At 50.9% G+C, this 14,213-nt stretch overlaps 1 protein-coding gene across 14 annotated transcripts in view, besides 4 other annotated features; it reads left to right on the forward strand.

Moving 5' to 3' along the window:
- SNAP47 (synaptosome associated protein 47) overlaps positions 1-14,213 on the forward strand; it is a 53,059-nt gene that overhangs the window by 18,391 nt on the left and 20,455 nt on the right. For 11 of the 14 annotated variants that reach the window (NR_136655.2, NM_001323933.2, XM_047444119.1 and 8 more), the window contains 2 exons: positions 1,134-1,675; positions 12,437-12,927. Coding sequence is in view for 10 of the 14 variants with exons in the window: in XM_047444119.1 (XP_047300075.1) it covers positions 1,134-1,675; positions 12,437-12,927 (1,033 nt within the window). In the remaining 4 variants the exon portion in view is untranslated. The remainder of the gene's footprint in view (positions 1-1,133; positions 1,676-12,436; positions 12,928-14,213) is intronic. The other 3 variants (NR_136654.2, NR_136656.2, NR_136657.2) reach the window with 1 other exon arrangement.
- Positions 3,446-3,947: an enhancer, noted in NCBI's record as "H3K27ac hESC enhancer chr1:227937705-227938206 (GRCh37/hg19 assembly coordinates)". NCBI's record gives its function as "activates a minimal SCP1, AML or CMV promoter by ChIP-STARR-seq in primed H9 embryonic stem cells {active_cell/tissue: H9 hESC(primed)}" and the evidence as "EXISTENCE:reporter gene assay evidence [ECO:0000049][PMID:30033119]".
- Positions 9,803-9,852: an enhancer, noted in NCBI's record as "active region_2681". NCBI's record gives its function as "activates an Ori minimal core promoter by ATAC-STARR-seq in GM12878 lymphoblastoid cells {active_cell/tissue: GM12878}" and the evidence as "EXISTENCE:reporter gene assay evidence [ECO:0000049][PMID:35858748]".
- Positions 9,893-9,982: an enhancer, noted in NCBI's record as "active region_2682". NCBI's record gives its function as "activates an Ori minimal core promoter by ATAC-STARR-seq in GM12878 lymphoblastoid cells {active_cell/tissue: GM12878}" and the evidence as "EXISTENCE:reporter gene assay evidence [ECO:0000049][PMID:35858748]".
- Positions 11,782-11,841: an enhancer, noted in NCBI's record as "active region_2683". NCBI's record gives its function as "activates an Ori minimal core promoter by ATAC-STARR-seq in GM12878 lymphoblastoid cells {active_cell/tissue: GM12878}" and the evidence as "EXISTENCE:reporter gene assay evidence [ECO:0000049][PMID:35858748]".

Here is a 14,213-nt window from a genome sequence, read left to right on the forward strand (position 1 = left end):
CATGAGCTGCAGGAACCAGGGACGGATCAGGGTAGGTGGTGCCCAGCAGATAATTTGGCACATAGCAGGACTCATGAACGTGCTGCCAGAATGAGGAGGACCCCACAGCCTCTAGCTGTGCCATGGAAAGCCCACACTTTTTGATGTCTGGGGGGATTACACTGGCTGGCTGTCCTGTTTGTATAAGTAAAGTCACGTTACAGTGAAATTCTGTGAGAGAAGTGGGAGAAATGCCACCCTACCCTTGGACCTTTCTCTGCTGTCAGAACCTTGGTGAGGCATCCCCGGCCTGGCTCTGGCCCTGGCAGAGTCCTGCACTCGTGCCTGGATCTTGCACAAGGCCCTCTTGTTTTCTTAACCTTACATTATCTGTACGATGAGACAGTTGGGCTGCATGTTCCATGAGGATTCGTTCAAATCTATCATCCAAGACTTTCCAAACTGTACTGATAAATGTAGATGTGAAAACATGATAGGACACCTTCATTGCTTGCAGCTATGTAAAACTACATACGCACAATAAGTTAGTACGCGTACGTGTTACTACTCAGTTCTGTAGAACGCTATAAGGTTAGGTGGGGTTATGAGAAGGGAAAACGCTTGTCTGCAGGATTGTTTTCTCTATGCAATGAAGTTGATGAATGGAAGTTTCCAAAGGGGAATGTGCATCTAGAGGGAACATTATGGCCAAAAGACAGCGCTCCTTGGAACGGTCTGAGAGTACGTCCTGGGACTGAGGTCCGAGGCCCAGGGCCCTGGCAAAGTCTCCAGTGATGTCCTCCTCAAGTCTCGTCCAGCAGTGGACACTGATCCAAGCAGGGTGGCTTTGCTGGGTGCAGGGGCACAGAGTGTGGTGAGGGGGATGACAGTGTGAACCCTCTGCCTGGGGGATGGGCATAAGTCTGGGACTCAGGGGTCCTGGTTCCAAACCAGCCCTCCTGCTCTGGCTGCTCTTCCTTCACCTGCTGAGAGGGTACATGGGCTTCGTCATGCAGCCACAGGTGGATCGAGAGTCAGCCACGTGCTGCAGCCTGTGTGAGCCCAGAGCCGCAGGGGAGGCAGCATCCTTGTGGGGTTGCTTGTGTCTCCAGTCCATGGGTGACGGCAGAACGTTACTGTCTCTTCTCCTTCAGAGGCAGAAGAGGCCTGGACCTTGGCGCACACAGACCCAGGAACAGATGAGCAGGGATGTCTGCATCCACACCTGGCCGTGCACCTACTACCTGGAGCCCAAGAGGCGATGGGTTACTGGACAGCTGTCCTTAACATCGCTGTCGCTCAGGTTCATGACTGACAGCACTGGAGAGATTCTGGTCAGCTTCCCCCTCTCCAGCATAGTTGAGATCAAGAAGGAGGCTTCACATTTTATCTTCAGCTCCATCACCATCCTGGAGAAGGGCCATGCCAAGCACTGGTTCAGCTCCCTGCGGCCAAGTCGAAATGTGGTCTTCAGCATCATCGAGCATTTCTGGAGGGAGCTGCTGCTGTCTCAGCCTGGAGCCGTGGCAGACGCATCTGTCCCAAGGACCCGGGGCGAGGAGCTGACGGGACTCATGGCTGGATCCCAGAAACGCCTGGAGGACACGGCGAGGGTCCTGCACCACCAGGGCCAGCAGCTGGACAGCGTCATGAGAGGCCTGGACAAGATGGAGTCAGACCTGGAGGTGGCGGACAGGTGGGCTTGCTGTGTACACTTTGCAAGGCACACACAGAGTAAGATGCACATGTGTGGAGGCTCACAGGCACTGTTCCAGGCCACTGCACCATATTTGCACACATCCAGCATTCTGAGATCCTGGCTGTGCACCTGCTGTACATGCTTAGTGGGTACGCACATTAAGATCCAGCACTCGGAAAGCGAGGCTGTGAATACACGGTACACTCTGCTGGAAACACACCGTGAGATCTGAGTGAGTGCTGGCTCACTGGGTGCCTGGCACCACTGCCGTCCACTGCACCATGCTGAGTCCACACCCAGCAAGCAGAGACTGTGCTGTGACCTCCTGTACACATTCCTCTGTTTCTGGCTCCTATGTGGTGATGGGGACAGGCCCTGGCCTCTGAGGTCACAGAGGATGGAGTGAGGTCTGTCTTGATGACGGCCTCTGTTAGTGAGGTGTCTCCTGTCAGCATCTGTGGCTCCTATGTGGTAATGGGGATGGGCCCTGGCCTCTGAGGTCACAGAGGGTGGAGTGAGGTCTGTCTTGGTGACAGTCTCTGTGAGTGAGGTGTCTCCTGTCAGCATTGGCCATTTGTTCATGAGCTATGTTCTTCTGTTATGTTTCTTAGTATGAAAATCCTAGTGTATGTCCAGAAAATTTCTTCAGTTTGTTTAAGAATGCTTTTCTTTTTCCAAGTCCGATTTTTGCTTTCTGAGTCCTGCTATCTTCTGTTTGGGTACTCCTTTCGTATTTGGCTTTCTTTTAGTGTTGCTATTCTAGTGTGTGTTTCTGGTTTTTATCTTCCTACCATTTATCATTTGTACTTGTAATTTCTTAGAACTCTTTTGTGTTCCTCCAGTTTCCTGGAAAAACCTTCGGGTCTTGCGTCATGGCCCGAGCATCTTCTGTGTTTGGATATTATTAATAGCCTTGTTTTGCTTATGGTTTCTGGGTTTTCAAGGTGCTTGTTTATTGCCTTTTTTGTCGCGGTCGTTTTTCCTAAGATGGTGTGTGTGGGGCTGAGGTATCACCCATGGGCTGTTTACTGGGACCCTCAGTTCCTCGTCCTGGGGTCCTGTCTGGAGCGTGAGTCTTGGGGGGCTGCTTTCTGGCTCAGGTAGAAAGTTTACTCCCTCTGCCCTCAGGTTCCATCCAGTCCCTCTTCTGGGATCCGGGGGTGCCCACTTGGGTGGGTCCATCTGGGAGCCGAGGATCTCCCAGTGCAGTGCCACATGGACTTGTGCCTGCGTGTTGCTGGTTCTTCCTACCTCTGCTGGGAGGGTGCTGGTACTCCCTCCTCATCACCCCATAGGGCTCTGGCACCCTAATTGCATGGTCTCTCAGCATGCCGCTGCTGGCATACTATCCACCTTCCTGGATTTGCCAGTCTGCCCGCTTTTCAGTGTCAGGCTGCCACTATATTTGTCTGTTTCCTTTGTCTTTGGAGAAGTGTGTGTTGAGTTTGCCGTCCTTCTCTATTGCTCTCTACCCCTTTTTTAAGGACACGTCCTTGAGAGCCTGTGTGTGTGTCTGTGTGTGTCTGTGTGTCGTCTGTATGTGTATGTGTGTCTGTGTGTTTCTGTTTGTGTCTGTGTGTATTTGTGTGTGTCATCTGTGTGTGTGTGTTTCAGTACACATAGCTCAGGTTTTTACATGCTTTCAATTACTTTTATTATTTCTTGAAAAGTCATTTTGAAGCGTGTTGTTTCTCGTTTTGTGATTGTTCGGAGGAAAGTGAGAACTTCCTCCTAGCACCCACAGCTGCAGTGGGCAGAACCTCTGTGTCCCTGGAATCCCGCCTTGGCATTGGCCACTGTCCCTCAGCCCTAAGCTGGGGTCATATTGGTGCATCAGTATTGCATGCAGGTTAGTTGGACTGAGGTCACATCTTGTACTTGACTAAGAGGAGATCCTTTCAGTCAGAGCTTTGCTGGCACAAGGCCGGAGCCGGAAGATGACAGAGCCCCCGACAATCCCAGCTCTTCTGTGTAGATGGCAGGTGTGTGTTTTGCCCTAGTCAGAGTCTGCAGGGGGCCAGCAGCTGGAGCCCCACGGACAGTTGCAGGCCGAAGGCCATGACTCTGTTTCTCGGATCAGTTCTTGTTCTTTTAAGGCCTTCAGCAGGTTGCACGGGGCCTGCCCACATTACAGGCCGAGCTGCTTTCCTGGGAGTCCGCCAATTTCTATTTAATCTCATGGACACACACCATCACAGACACGTGCAGAGTAGTGCTTGACGACTGGGCCTTGTGGCCCTGCTATGTGGACACTAATGTGACCATCACAGCCTCCTGGGAGGCACATGCCCTGGCAAGCTGGGACTGGCCCTCTGCCCTCCCGCCTGTGGGGTTCTGGAGCCCTCCCCATGGTGCCTCCGTCCTGGCTTCTCCCTGCCCTGGCTCGCTGCTGAGGGGTGTCCCTGGGCTGGACCCTGACAGTGTCTGCAGGGGGAGGCCTGGGGATATTCGCAGAGGACTGAGCCCTGGCCATAGGCGAGGGTGCTGCGGTCCTGGAGGGGAGGCTGTGGGTGCACAATGTGGCTTTCCCTGCTTCCTGGGGTGTCATCCTCCTCCCAGTCACAGAAAAAACAAATGCCATGGAGAAGGAGCATCTTTTTCTGTGCCCAGCCGAGTTTCTGTGTGGCCACATGGCATCAGTGCCAGCGTTGGGTGCACCCAGAGACTGTGTAGAGGGAGATTGGGAGGAGGCTGCCAAGGCACACGATTATCCATGGCATGGACCCAGAGCCCCCATGTTTGCTATGGACTCCTGCTGGGAAATGAGCCGGGCACCAAGCGATGGGCCTGTCCCTTCTTCTGGAAATGTAGTGGGTGACCCAAAGACTGGCCGAGCCAGAGAAACAAGAGTTCCACCCACAGTGCCGGCATCTGACCCAGCCCCTGGGCCCCTTTAGTGCTCCCTGAACACTGTGGCTTTGATTGTGCGGTGAAGAAGAGCCCGCCCTGTGTCGCCCACTCTCCTGGGACAGGCCGTCCTATGTTCACCTGCGTCGGCCTGCACCGCCACGTCTCTCTCCTGCTCAGCAGCTGTCTCCCAGAGGTAGCCTGCCACCCTGCGCCAGCCCCACCACCTGTCCCACTACCTGTCCTGGCCACCGCAGGCCCCACCGCCGGCCAGGTGCACTCTCAGCTGATCCTCAGCACCCCCATTCTTGTGTGCTGAGGAGCACAGCAGAGTGAGGCCCTGTGCCTGCCTGTATTCATGTCCAGTTCCTTCTTAGTGCTGGTGCTCAGAGTTCTTTCCCGCCAGGCAGGAGGATTGAGGTCGTCAGCCTGGCAGGACTGCAGGTCGCAGTGTCGGAGACCACCTGGCCTTTGCCCACGCCGGTCCCTTCAGGTGCAGGCAGCCTTGGTGCCTTCCCCAGGCCCACAGGCAGGGCGCCCAGCCTCCAGGACATGCAAGAAACAGAACAGACACAAGAAAAAGACAAATCTGACACAGGATTTTGAAAAGCAGGTCAGAAAAACAATGCGAAGGAATGGGGCCAATTACATAAAGACTTGGTTTTTTTTTTTTTTTTTTTTTTTTTTTTTTTTTTTTTGAGACGGAGTCTCGCTCTGTCTCCCAGGCTGGAGTGCAGTGGCGCGATCTCTGCTCACTGCAAACTCCGCCTCCCGGGTTCCTGCCATTCTCCTGCCTCAGCCTCCCAAGTAGCTGGGACTGCAGGTGCCCGCTACCGCGCCTGGCTAATTTTTTTGTATTTTTTAGTAGAGATGGGGTTTCACCGTGTTAACCAGGATGGTTTCAATCTCCTGACCTCGTGATCCACCCGCCTCAGCCTCCCAAAGTGCTGGGATTACAGGCGTGAACCACCGCGCCCGGCCAAGACTTTGTTTTTAAGTATAATTATTTTTTGCAGCTTTATTGAGGTATTGCTGAGAAAACCTGTGTATATTTCAGGCATGTGGCTTGGTGATGCAGTGTTTGTACCCACTGTGAAGTCACCACCACAGTCATACGCACGAACACATCTCTCACCTCACATGCCTGTCATTTTGTTCCCTTTTTCTTTTTTTCCTTGAGAATGTTAAGAACACCTAAGATCTGTGTTCTTGGCAGATTTCAAGTGTACTATTAGTATGGAGAGCTGCAGCTACCATGTCATTACTGCCCAGAGCTCATTCATCCCGTAACTGAAGCTGGTGCCCTTGGCCACTCTCTCCCCGCTTCCCCACCCGCCCCACACCTGCCCTTCTCTCTGTTTCTGTGAGTTTGGCTTCTTTAGGTCCCACATGCGTCATGCAGGGTTTTTCTCTCTATCTGGTGCCTTTCACTCAGCATAATGTGCTCCAGGTCTGTCCATCTTGGTGAAATGGCAGGATTTCCTTCTTTTTTGTGGCTGAATAAAATTCCATGGCATATAGACACTGTATTTTTGTACCCGAACTCAGGTCTCGGCCACTCATTGCTTGAAAGCCAAAATCCAAGAGATGAGCTTTGGTGAAAGGAAAGTTAGCTTTATTAAGGAAGCCAGCAACCTCTGGGTGGTAGACTTGTTTTCAAAGATCACCTCCCCTGGAGTTGTGACTCCAGATCAGGGGTTTTTAAGGGAAATTAAGGGAGATGATTAAAGCACCCTTGTGAAACCTGCAGAGTCTCAGATGGGCAGTTAATCCTTGCTTTCTTGGTCAATGCCTTGTGGCCTTCTGCAGGCACCATCAGCCTATTCTTAGGCTGGCCAGCCCATTCCCAGAGCTGTTGGTTCCCAGAGCTGTTGAGTCCCAGAGTGAGTTGTTGGTTCTCAGAGTTGTTGGTTGGTGTATTTTCTTTTATTTCTGTTGAAGGTCCTGTTTTCCCAAGGCATTTTTAATAATCTGCAGACTCAAGCAAAGCAATAATTGTGTTCAAGTAAACAAGCTTTTCTCTAACTTGGAGTCAGTACTGTTCCATTTTCTCAATCCATCCGTCTGTGGATGGACACGTGGTTTCCATGCCTTGGCTATAGTGAAGCATGCTGCAGTGAACTTGGGAGTGCCGGTGTCACTTTGAGATACTGGTTTTATTTCCTTTGGCTATTGTGGAGGCTAAAGCAACTCCATCTTGGATACTAATAGGCCTTGTTAACATCTGATTAACCCCATTTCTGGGGATGCCTCTAAGATTTCTACCTCACTTATTGTTCCTTGTGTAAGAGCAGGTACTTAACCACATACTCTGCCCTTGGGCAGGTTCACGGGGCATTCTTATCTTTTCCTGCCGGGTCTGTCCTACACATATGTCCCCTGTGGTGCAGAAACCCTGGGTCTGGGGGCCATGGCATGGGATCCACTGCCTCATCTCACTGCTGCCTAAGACACAGACCTGCCTCCCTGTCCATAAGTCGCTGTTAGATGCTTCCTTCTGAGAAGCGGGGTCTGTCATCCTCTTTCTGCAGCCTCTCAGCTTCCTCACATCGGAGGCAGTTTTACATAGGCCTGCTCACCATGGAACAGGTGTAAACCCACAAGCAGGATTGCAAAATCATGGTGGTTCTGAAATAGGAAAGGTTCCCTTGTCCCCCTCACAGGGCATTCAACAGGGCACTGAAGCCAGCCACTGAAGCCACGGCTGGCTTCAGTGCCCTGCTGCCCAAACCTCCTAGGGGAGCATACAGACAGGCAGGCTATGGGTCTCCAACCCCACGACAGCATCTAGGGGTGGATGTTTACTGCTCCTGGAGCCCCAGTGGGTGTGTGCTACCATGTGCTCTTTTAGTTTAGCCATCTGTAGGTGGCTTGTGTTAACCAGCTCAATTAGACTCTCTACCCTGTTGCAAGGACAGAGGGCTTTCTGTATCCTGGGATTCTTGCCTTGGTGTACCAGAAGAATCAGATTGCACATGGGCTTGGAAAATAAGTGCAAGGTTTTATTGAGTGGAAGTAGCTCTCAGCAGATGGGGAAGCCCGAAGGGAGATGGTTTTCCCCTGGAGTTGGGCCACTCAGTGGCCTGGGCTCTCCTCCAACTGCCCCAGCCAAACTCTGCATCATTCTGCCAGTTGGTGGCCTACAGCCGTGCTGGTGCCTGTGTGCATTCCTCTTGACATCCAGCTGCCCTTGTGTCCCTTTACTGATGTGCTCCTCTTGAGGTCTGGCCACCTGTGTGTCTGCCTGCTAGGGTCTCAGGGTGTTTATAGGCACAGGATGGGGGTGTGGCAGGCCAGGGTGGTCTTGGGAAGTGCATTTGGGCAGGAAAACAAAAATGCCTGTCTTTACCTTCCTCCATCTGTCCATCCGTAAGGGTGGAGCCCTAGCCAGGGACCACGCCCTCCTCTACCCAGCATTTCCCTTCCCCTCTTCCATATCATTTAAAGGGACCACGCCCTTCCCTTTCCAGCACTTCCAAAACGGTTCCTCCTTGATTTTTTGAGGAGCCTCCATGCTGTTTTCCTCAGTGGCTGTATAGAGATTTTTAAAGTGTGTGCACCCATGTCATTGTGTGCTTGGCAGGTCACCTCACGGCACTGTGATCAGAGCTGGTGGCCTGCCCTGCTCCTTCAGGAGGCACAGGAGCATTGCAGGCCTTTGAGGGGAACACTGAGGAAATGAGGGGGTCACAGGAAATTGAGAGGACTAAAACCAGGACCTGTGAGAGGGAATCAAAAGTGTTTTGCCTGGAGAGGAAAGCTGACCAAGACTGCCTAAAATAACTGATGGCTGTCACTTGAGACCTTTTTCTTTAGAACGCTAAACTAGGTCCTTTAGTTGTATAAACCAAAAGTAAAATCCTAAGCACCCCAGCCAACTGAATGGATCCCATCTTGGCCAAGGGGATTCCAAAGTAATCCTGAAAAACTAGTTCAGACCATGAAAAGAAGGAGGGGGTCAGACATGCCTCATTATGCCCTCCTCCTCCTGAAGGTTGGAATAGGAAACACTTGCCATCTGTCATCTCTAAGTGCGGCCACCTATAAGACCTAATCTTCATAACAACCTTGGCCTCCCCTTATCTCCAGCCCAGACACTCCTTTCAGTTGATTCCAGGTTTTTATTTATTTACTTTTTGAGACAGGATCTTACTCCGTCACTTGGGCTGGAGTGCAGTGGCGCGATCACAGCTCATTCCAGCCTCCAACTCCTGGGCTTAAGTGATCCTCCCACCTCAGCCTCCCATGTAGCTGGACCACAGGCATGCATTACCATGTCTGGCTAGTTTTGTTTTCTTTTTTTTCTTTTTTTCTTTTATTTGAGATGGAGTCTCGCTCTGTCACCCAGGCAGGAATGCAGTGGCGTGATCTCGGCTCACTGCAACATCTGCCTTCCGGGTTCAATCAATTCTCCCACCTCAGCCTCCTGAGTAGCTGGGATAACAGGTGCACACCACCATGCCCAGCTAATTTTTGAATTTTTAATAGAGACAGGGTTTTGCCATGTTGGCCGGGCTGGTCTTGAACTCCTGGGCCTCAAGTAATCCACCTCGGCCTCCTGAAGTGCTGGGATTATAGGCGTGAGCCACCATACCCAGCCTAGTTTTTTTATTTTTTTGTAGAGATGGAGTCTCACTTTGTGCCCATGCTGGGAGTCCAGGTTTTTAGATAATAACTCTTAACTAAAGGTGACAGGAATGCACCCACAGGCACTGGCTCACCTGCAGGCCACCAACCAGCAGAATGACGTGGAGTTTGTCTGGGACAATTGGAGGAGAACCTGGGCCACTGAGTGGCCCAACGCCAGGGGGCCACTTTTAACCAATTGCCATCTTTTAACCAATCTTTTAACCAATTGCCAATCAGAAAATCTTTGAATCTACCTGTAACATGTAAGCATCTGCTTTGCGTTGTCCTGTCTTTCCAGACTGAACCAATGCATTGATTGATGTCTTATGTCCCACTAAAACATATAAACCCAAGCTGTAACCCAACTACCTTGGGCACATGTTCGCAGGACCTCCTGAGGCTGTGTCACTGGTCATGGTCCTCACATTTGGCTCAGAATAAATCTCTTAAAATATATTACAGAGTGTGGCTTTTTAAATCAACAGTGGTAAAGTAATAGGAAAGAAAATTTGGCTTAATAAAAGCAACACTTCTGACTATATACAGTTGTTGAAAGCCTAGTAAGTTGTCACATGAGCAGTGCGTCTCTCATCTCTTTTGGATTGTGTAACGCGACTCACATTGGACCCCAGCCCAGAGGACCTTCAGTCCCCTTTCAGTTTTGAGATTCCTAGGTATGAGTATGATTTTTCTTCTTTCTTTGTCAATATCAGTTTCCTTTAAGATCTAATTTGCAAATTAGTCACCTTTAAGAAAATCCCCTGTGCGTGACCAGGTGCCACTTTGATACACAGAATATTTCTGGACCCGGCCCCGGCCATTTAGATCAGGCTCCTGCCTGTCCTTCTGCCTGCTCAGAAGCATCCTACCATCCTCAGCAGTGCCCCGATGGTGGTGGCTCTGCCCACGTGTATTTCCAGCAAACAGTTAGGGTGCTGCCTGTCTGAAATGGGGTAGATCTTGGAGGGGATGTCCCAATCATGTGGAGAGGCTGGCGAGGGACTTTTGCCTGGGGTCCTGGGGATTGCACCTCCCATGGCGTGTTGCTGCCCAACAGCAGCTCTAGGTGTCTGCTTAGGCCAAGTTACCGTGCACAGCACCCAGGGCTGAGCGTCCTGGTCCTGCCATGCCCCACTGTTTCTGGCTGTGCTCAGGGACGTTTCTCCCTTGGCAGTGCTTCCCATGGGTTGAGGTGGGAGCAGGCCTCCTGCCAGGGAGCCCAAGAGGCAGGGAAGCAGGTTGTTCACCTCGATCTCACTTTTTCCAGGTTAGAGACTGTGAGTCAGGGGAACTTTCTCCAGATGAGGGACGTCTCAGATGTGGAAGTTCAATTCCCTTAGTCTCTCTAGGAATTGTTCCTTTCTCTGTGGCTCCAGGGGCCATCCCATTCTCACATTTGAGTTCTGGGATATTGCTGGTGCTGTGCCTTTGTTTCTGGTTTTCAGCTGAAGGAGTGGAGCCAGCTTGTGTCTATGGCATGATTTTGGAACCAGAAGTCTCCACGTTCATCCCTAGAGCTTCACTATAGGGCTAGGAGTCATCACTGTAAAAGAAAACCTAAAGTCATCACTGTAAAAGAAAACGTGTGAGTGTGGCTCTTGGCAACTAAAACAGACCATCTTGGGTGCAGCCAGCACAGGGCACCATTTTGACATTTCACATCCATCTACTGCATCAAAAATCTTACAGTCACTTAGAGATAAGTCAGGGCAAGGAAGCCACGGAGTGCTCACTCATCTACCTTCATCAAAATCCCAAACGCCAGTCAGCAAACTGTGCACCTTTTGTTTTAATTTGGATAATGATACATAATCTTGACTAAGAATGGCCTATAAGAAATGCAGGATGTGTACTGTAAACTCTTGCTGAGGTCATATAATGTCTTCCCATTGATGTATGGGATACTGAAGCCAACGGCAGGTCTAGTAACTGCAGTTATTTTAAAGCAGGGGTTAATGTGATATATTGAGATCTGCAATAACTAATGTGATGAGACTTCTGTTGGTGACAGTCAAAGGTTCAACTAATACTGAAGCTGTCTACAGTCAGGATGGAAGGAAATGCCACATTCAACTGGAAGTTAGTGAAAGTAGCCATGATTTTCCCCATGTAATCTTGCTAATAATTCTAATAGGCTGGCCCATGGCAGTTAGCTTAGGTGCAGTGCCACAACCATGGCAGCCATTCCTTCAAATAAGCCCCTCCTTCTCTCCCCCCAGCATACCCACTGATTCTGTTCTCTGGAGAACCTGACTGACGCAGTCACCCTGCTGGGCAGCATGGGGAAAGAAACAAATGAGCTCAGGGTGCTCCAGGAACAGCCTGGACGTTTCTGGATCTGCCCCAAGGGAAGCCCTTAGCTCCTGTAGCTGCAGGACAGAGCTTTGTGAAAACAGAATCTGGAGTCTCCTGCTGCAGATGGCTGAATTCTAACTGTGCATGGCATCTGCTGTGACATTGAGGGCATGACCGAGAAGGAATGGGACCCTGAGAACCCCAGTGTAGACGCATGGCTGCAGTCTGCAGAAGCTGGGGACGCTGAGTCCCTGAAGGCCACAGAAACTTCCTGGCCAGTAGAGGTAGCCCTTCCTCCCAGTCTAGGGAGATTCATCCTGCAAGACGTGCCGGGTTCTCCTCAGCTTCTGTCCCCACACCTGTAGATGCTCAACTAGACTCCAATCCCAGCAGAGGCTGAAAGACAGGGTGCAGAGTGTACTCTGAGGAGGAGGTGCAGTCGGCACCAACAGGAATCTGGAGCATGCGGACGAGAGTGGGTGTTGAGAGTGTGGGTGGTGGGGAAGCATCTAATGCTGAGTCTGGCTGAGGCTGGGGGAAGGGGCCTGCTAGGCAGAGCTTCAGTTGTCACGTGTGCCTGCTACAGTATGGACAGCGCAGACGTAGAACATTCCATCACTGCAGAAAGGTCTGTTAGATAGCTCCCTAGACAGTAAGTACAGGTTTCATTTTGAATCAAGATGACCCAGATCAAGGCAGCAGGGTGTGGGCAGAGTGATATTCTAGGCAGAAGGTGTGCATTTTTGCTGTCTTTTTGCTGGTTGGCTTTGCATCTAGATGAATGTTCTCACTGCTGGCCCCCAGCTTTCTCTTCTCACACTGGAGATAAAAGTCCCTGTGCCTCCTGCTTCATGGAGTGCTTGTGGAAATGAAGTAGAGTAAAATGGCAACATGCTTTACAAAGGTTAAAACCGTTTTCCAAAAAAAAAGGTATTACTCCTTAAAAATGAACTGATCCAGTTTTCCATGTTTTGTTTGCTTTTTCAGATTGCTGACAGAACTGGAATCTCCTGCTTGGTGGCCCTTTAGCTCCAAGCTTTGGAAGACACCACCGGAAACAAAGCCCAGGGAAGATGTCTCCATGACCAGTTGTGAACCCTTTGGGAAAGAAGGGATACTGATAAAAATTCCTGCTGTTATTTCCCACAGAACAGAGTCTCACGTTAAACCAGGGAGGCTCACCGTCCTTGTGTCTGGGTTGGAAATACATGACTCCAGTTCTTTGCTCATGCACAGGTTTGAAAGAGAAGACGTGGACGACATCAAGGTCCACTCACCTTACGAAATTAGCATCCGCCAGCGGTTTATTGGAAAGCCAGACATGGCCTATCGTTTGATATCTGCCAAGATGCCAGAGGTTATCCCCATTTTAGAAGTGCAGTTCAGCAAGAAGATGGAGCTGTTAGAAGATGCATTGGTGCTCAGAAGCGCAAGAACCTCTTCCCCCGCAGAGAAGAGCTGCTCAGTCTGGCATGCAGGTTAGTGACCGACAAGGCAGTGAGCGCGTGCACAGACTTCTAAAATTACAGGCAGACTCAGCACGCCTGTGGGAAATGCCTAACAGATGCGTCACCTAGAGCAGCTGCTGGCCTCCAGCTTGCTAGAGACAGCTCGTTTGTTTATACATAAAAACAATTCCAGACCATTTTCCTTGTACTTGACATCTGTGAATCTGAAATCACTGAGAGTTAACTGTACACTTGATAGGTGCGTGAATTCCAAAGCGGTTGGTACCATGCTTTGGATACAGTTTATCCTCACCAAAGCTCATGTGGAAATTTGGTCGCCAGTGTGGCAGGGCTGGGAGGTGTTTGGTCACAAGGACTCTGCCCTCTGGGTGGCTCAGTGATGTTCTCATGGTAGTGAGTGAGTGCTCCCTCTGGGAAGCCTGGATGAATTCTGGGAATGCATTAGTTCCCAAGAGTGGGTTGTTAGGAGGCAGGATGCCCCTCTGATTCTGTCTCTTTGCCTGTGTCCGCTTCCCCCTTGAGTGTCTCTGCCACAACACGAGAGCCCTTGGTGGAAGCCAGGGCATGCCCTTGGACTTCCCAGCCCACAGAACTGTCAGTTGACTAAAGGTCTGTTCTTCGTAAATTACCCAGTCTCAGGTGCTCAGTTATGGTGATGCAGAACCTGCTACGACACAGAAAGGGCTTTCAGAATGAGTGCATCAGAGCAAAAGGAAGCTCCTGCTGTTGTCTCTGTCATCTCCCCTCATTTTGATGTGGGAACCAGCACCTCAGGATTGTTACTGGCACCATCTCCACTTCCCCTGGTGGGGCCATTCCCATCACCCCTACTTTGCCCACTCTTGTTTCCCTGGGCATTTAATCTAGGTTTTCCTAGCCTGGCGCCCAAACATGCTATTAGGGATCTGTGTGTTGGAGAACTGTGCAGCGTGGTTCTGTGTGTTTGTGGCATTCTCAGATGTGTGTGGAGTGGCCATGGTACCTTCCCGCAGACTCCATTGTAGATTGTGAATGCTCAGCTGGCCTGTCCTGGGGGCCGGGCTGAGGGGCAGACACCCTGGGTCTTGGCACGTCCACCACGTTTGGCCTACCTCCTCCCTAGCACAGGACCGAGGCTTATGTGCTAGGAGCCGCCATGGTCCTGCCCGTCTGATGGGAGGCTGGTGGCCTCTTGGTGTTATTCTTGCCTTTACCCTTTCCTTGGTTAGGAGGTGGGGCCTCTGATGCGTTGTATTTGTTTTGGCCCTGCAGGTTTTGCTCTATGGATGGCCTGTTCTGTTTTCTTCTTTCCTCAT

Source organism: Homo sapiens, chromosome 1 (genome assembly GCF_000001405.40).
Source record: "Homo sapiens chromosome 1, GRCh38.p14 Primary Assembly".
Taxonomy (NCBI): Eukaryota; Metazoa; Chordata; class Mammalia; order Primates; family Hominidae; genus Homo; species Homo sapiens.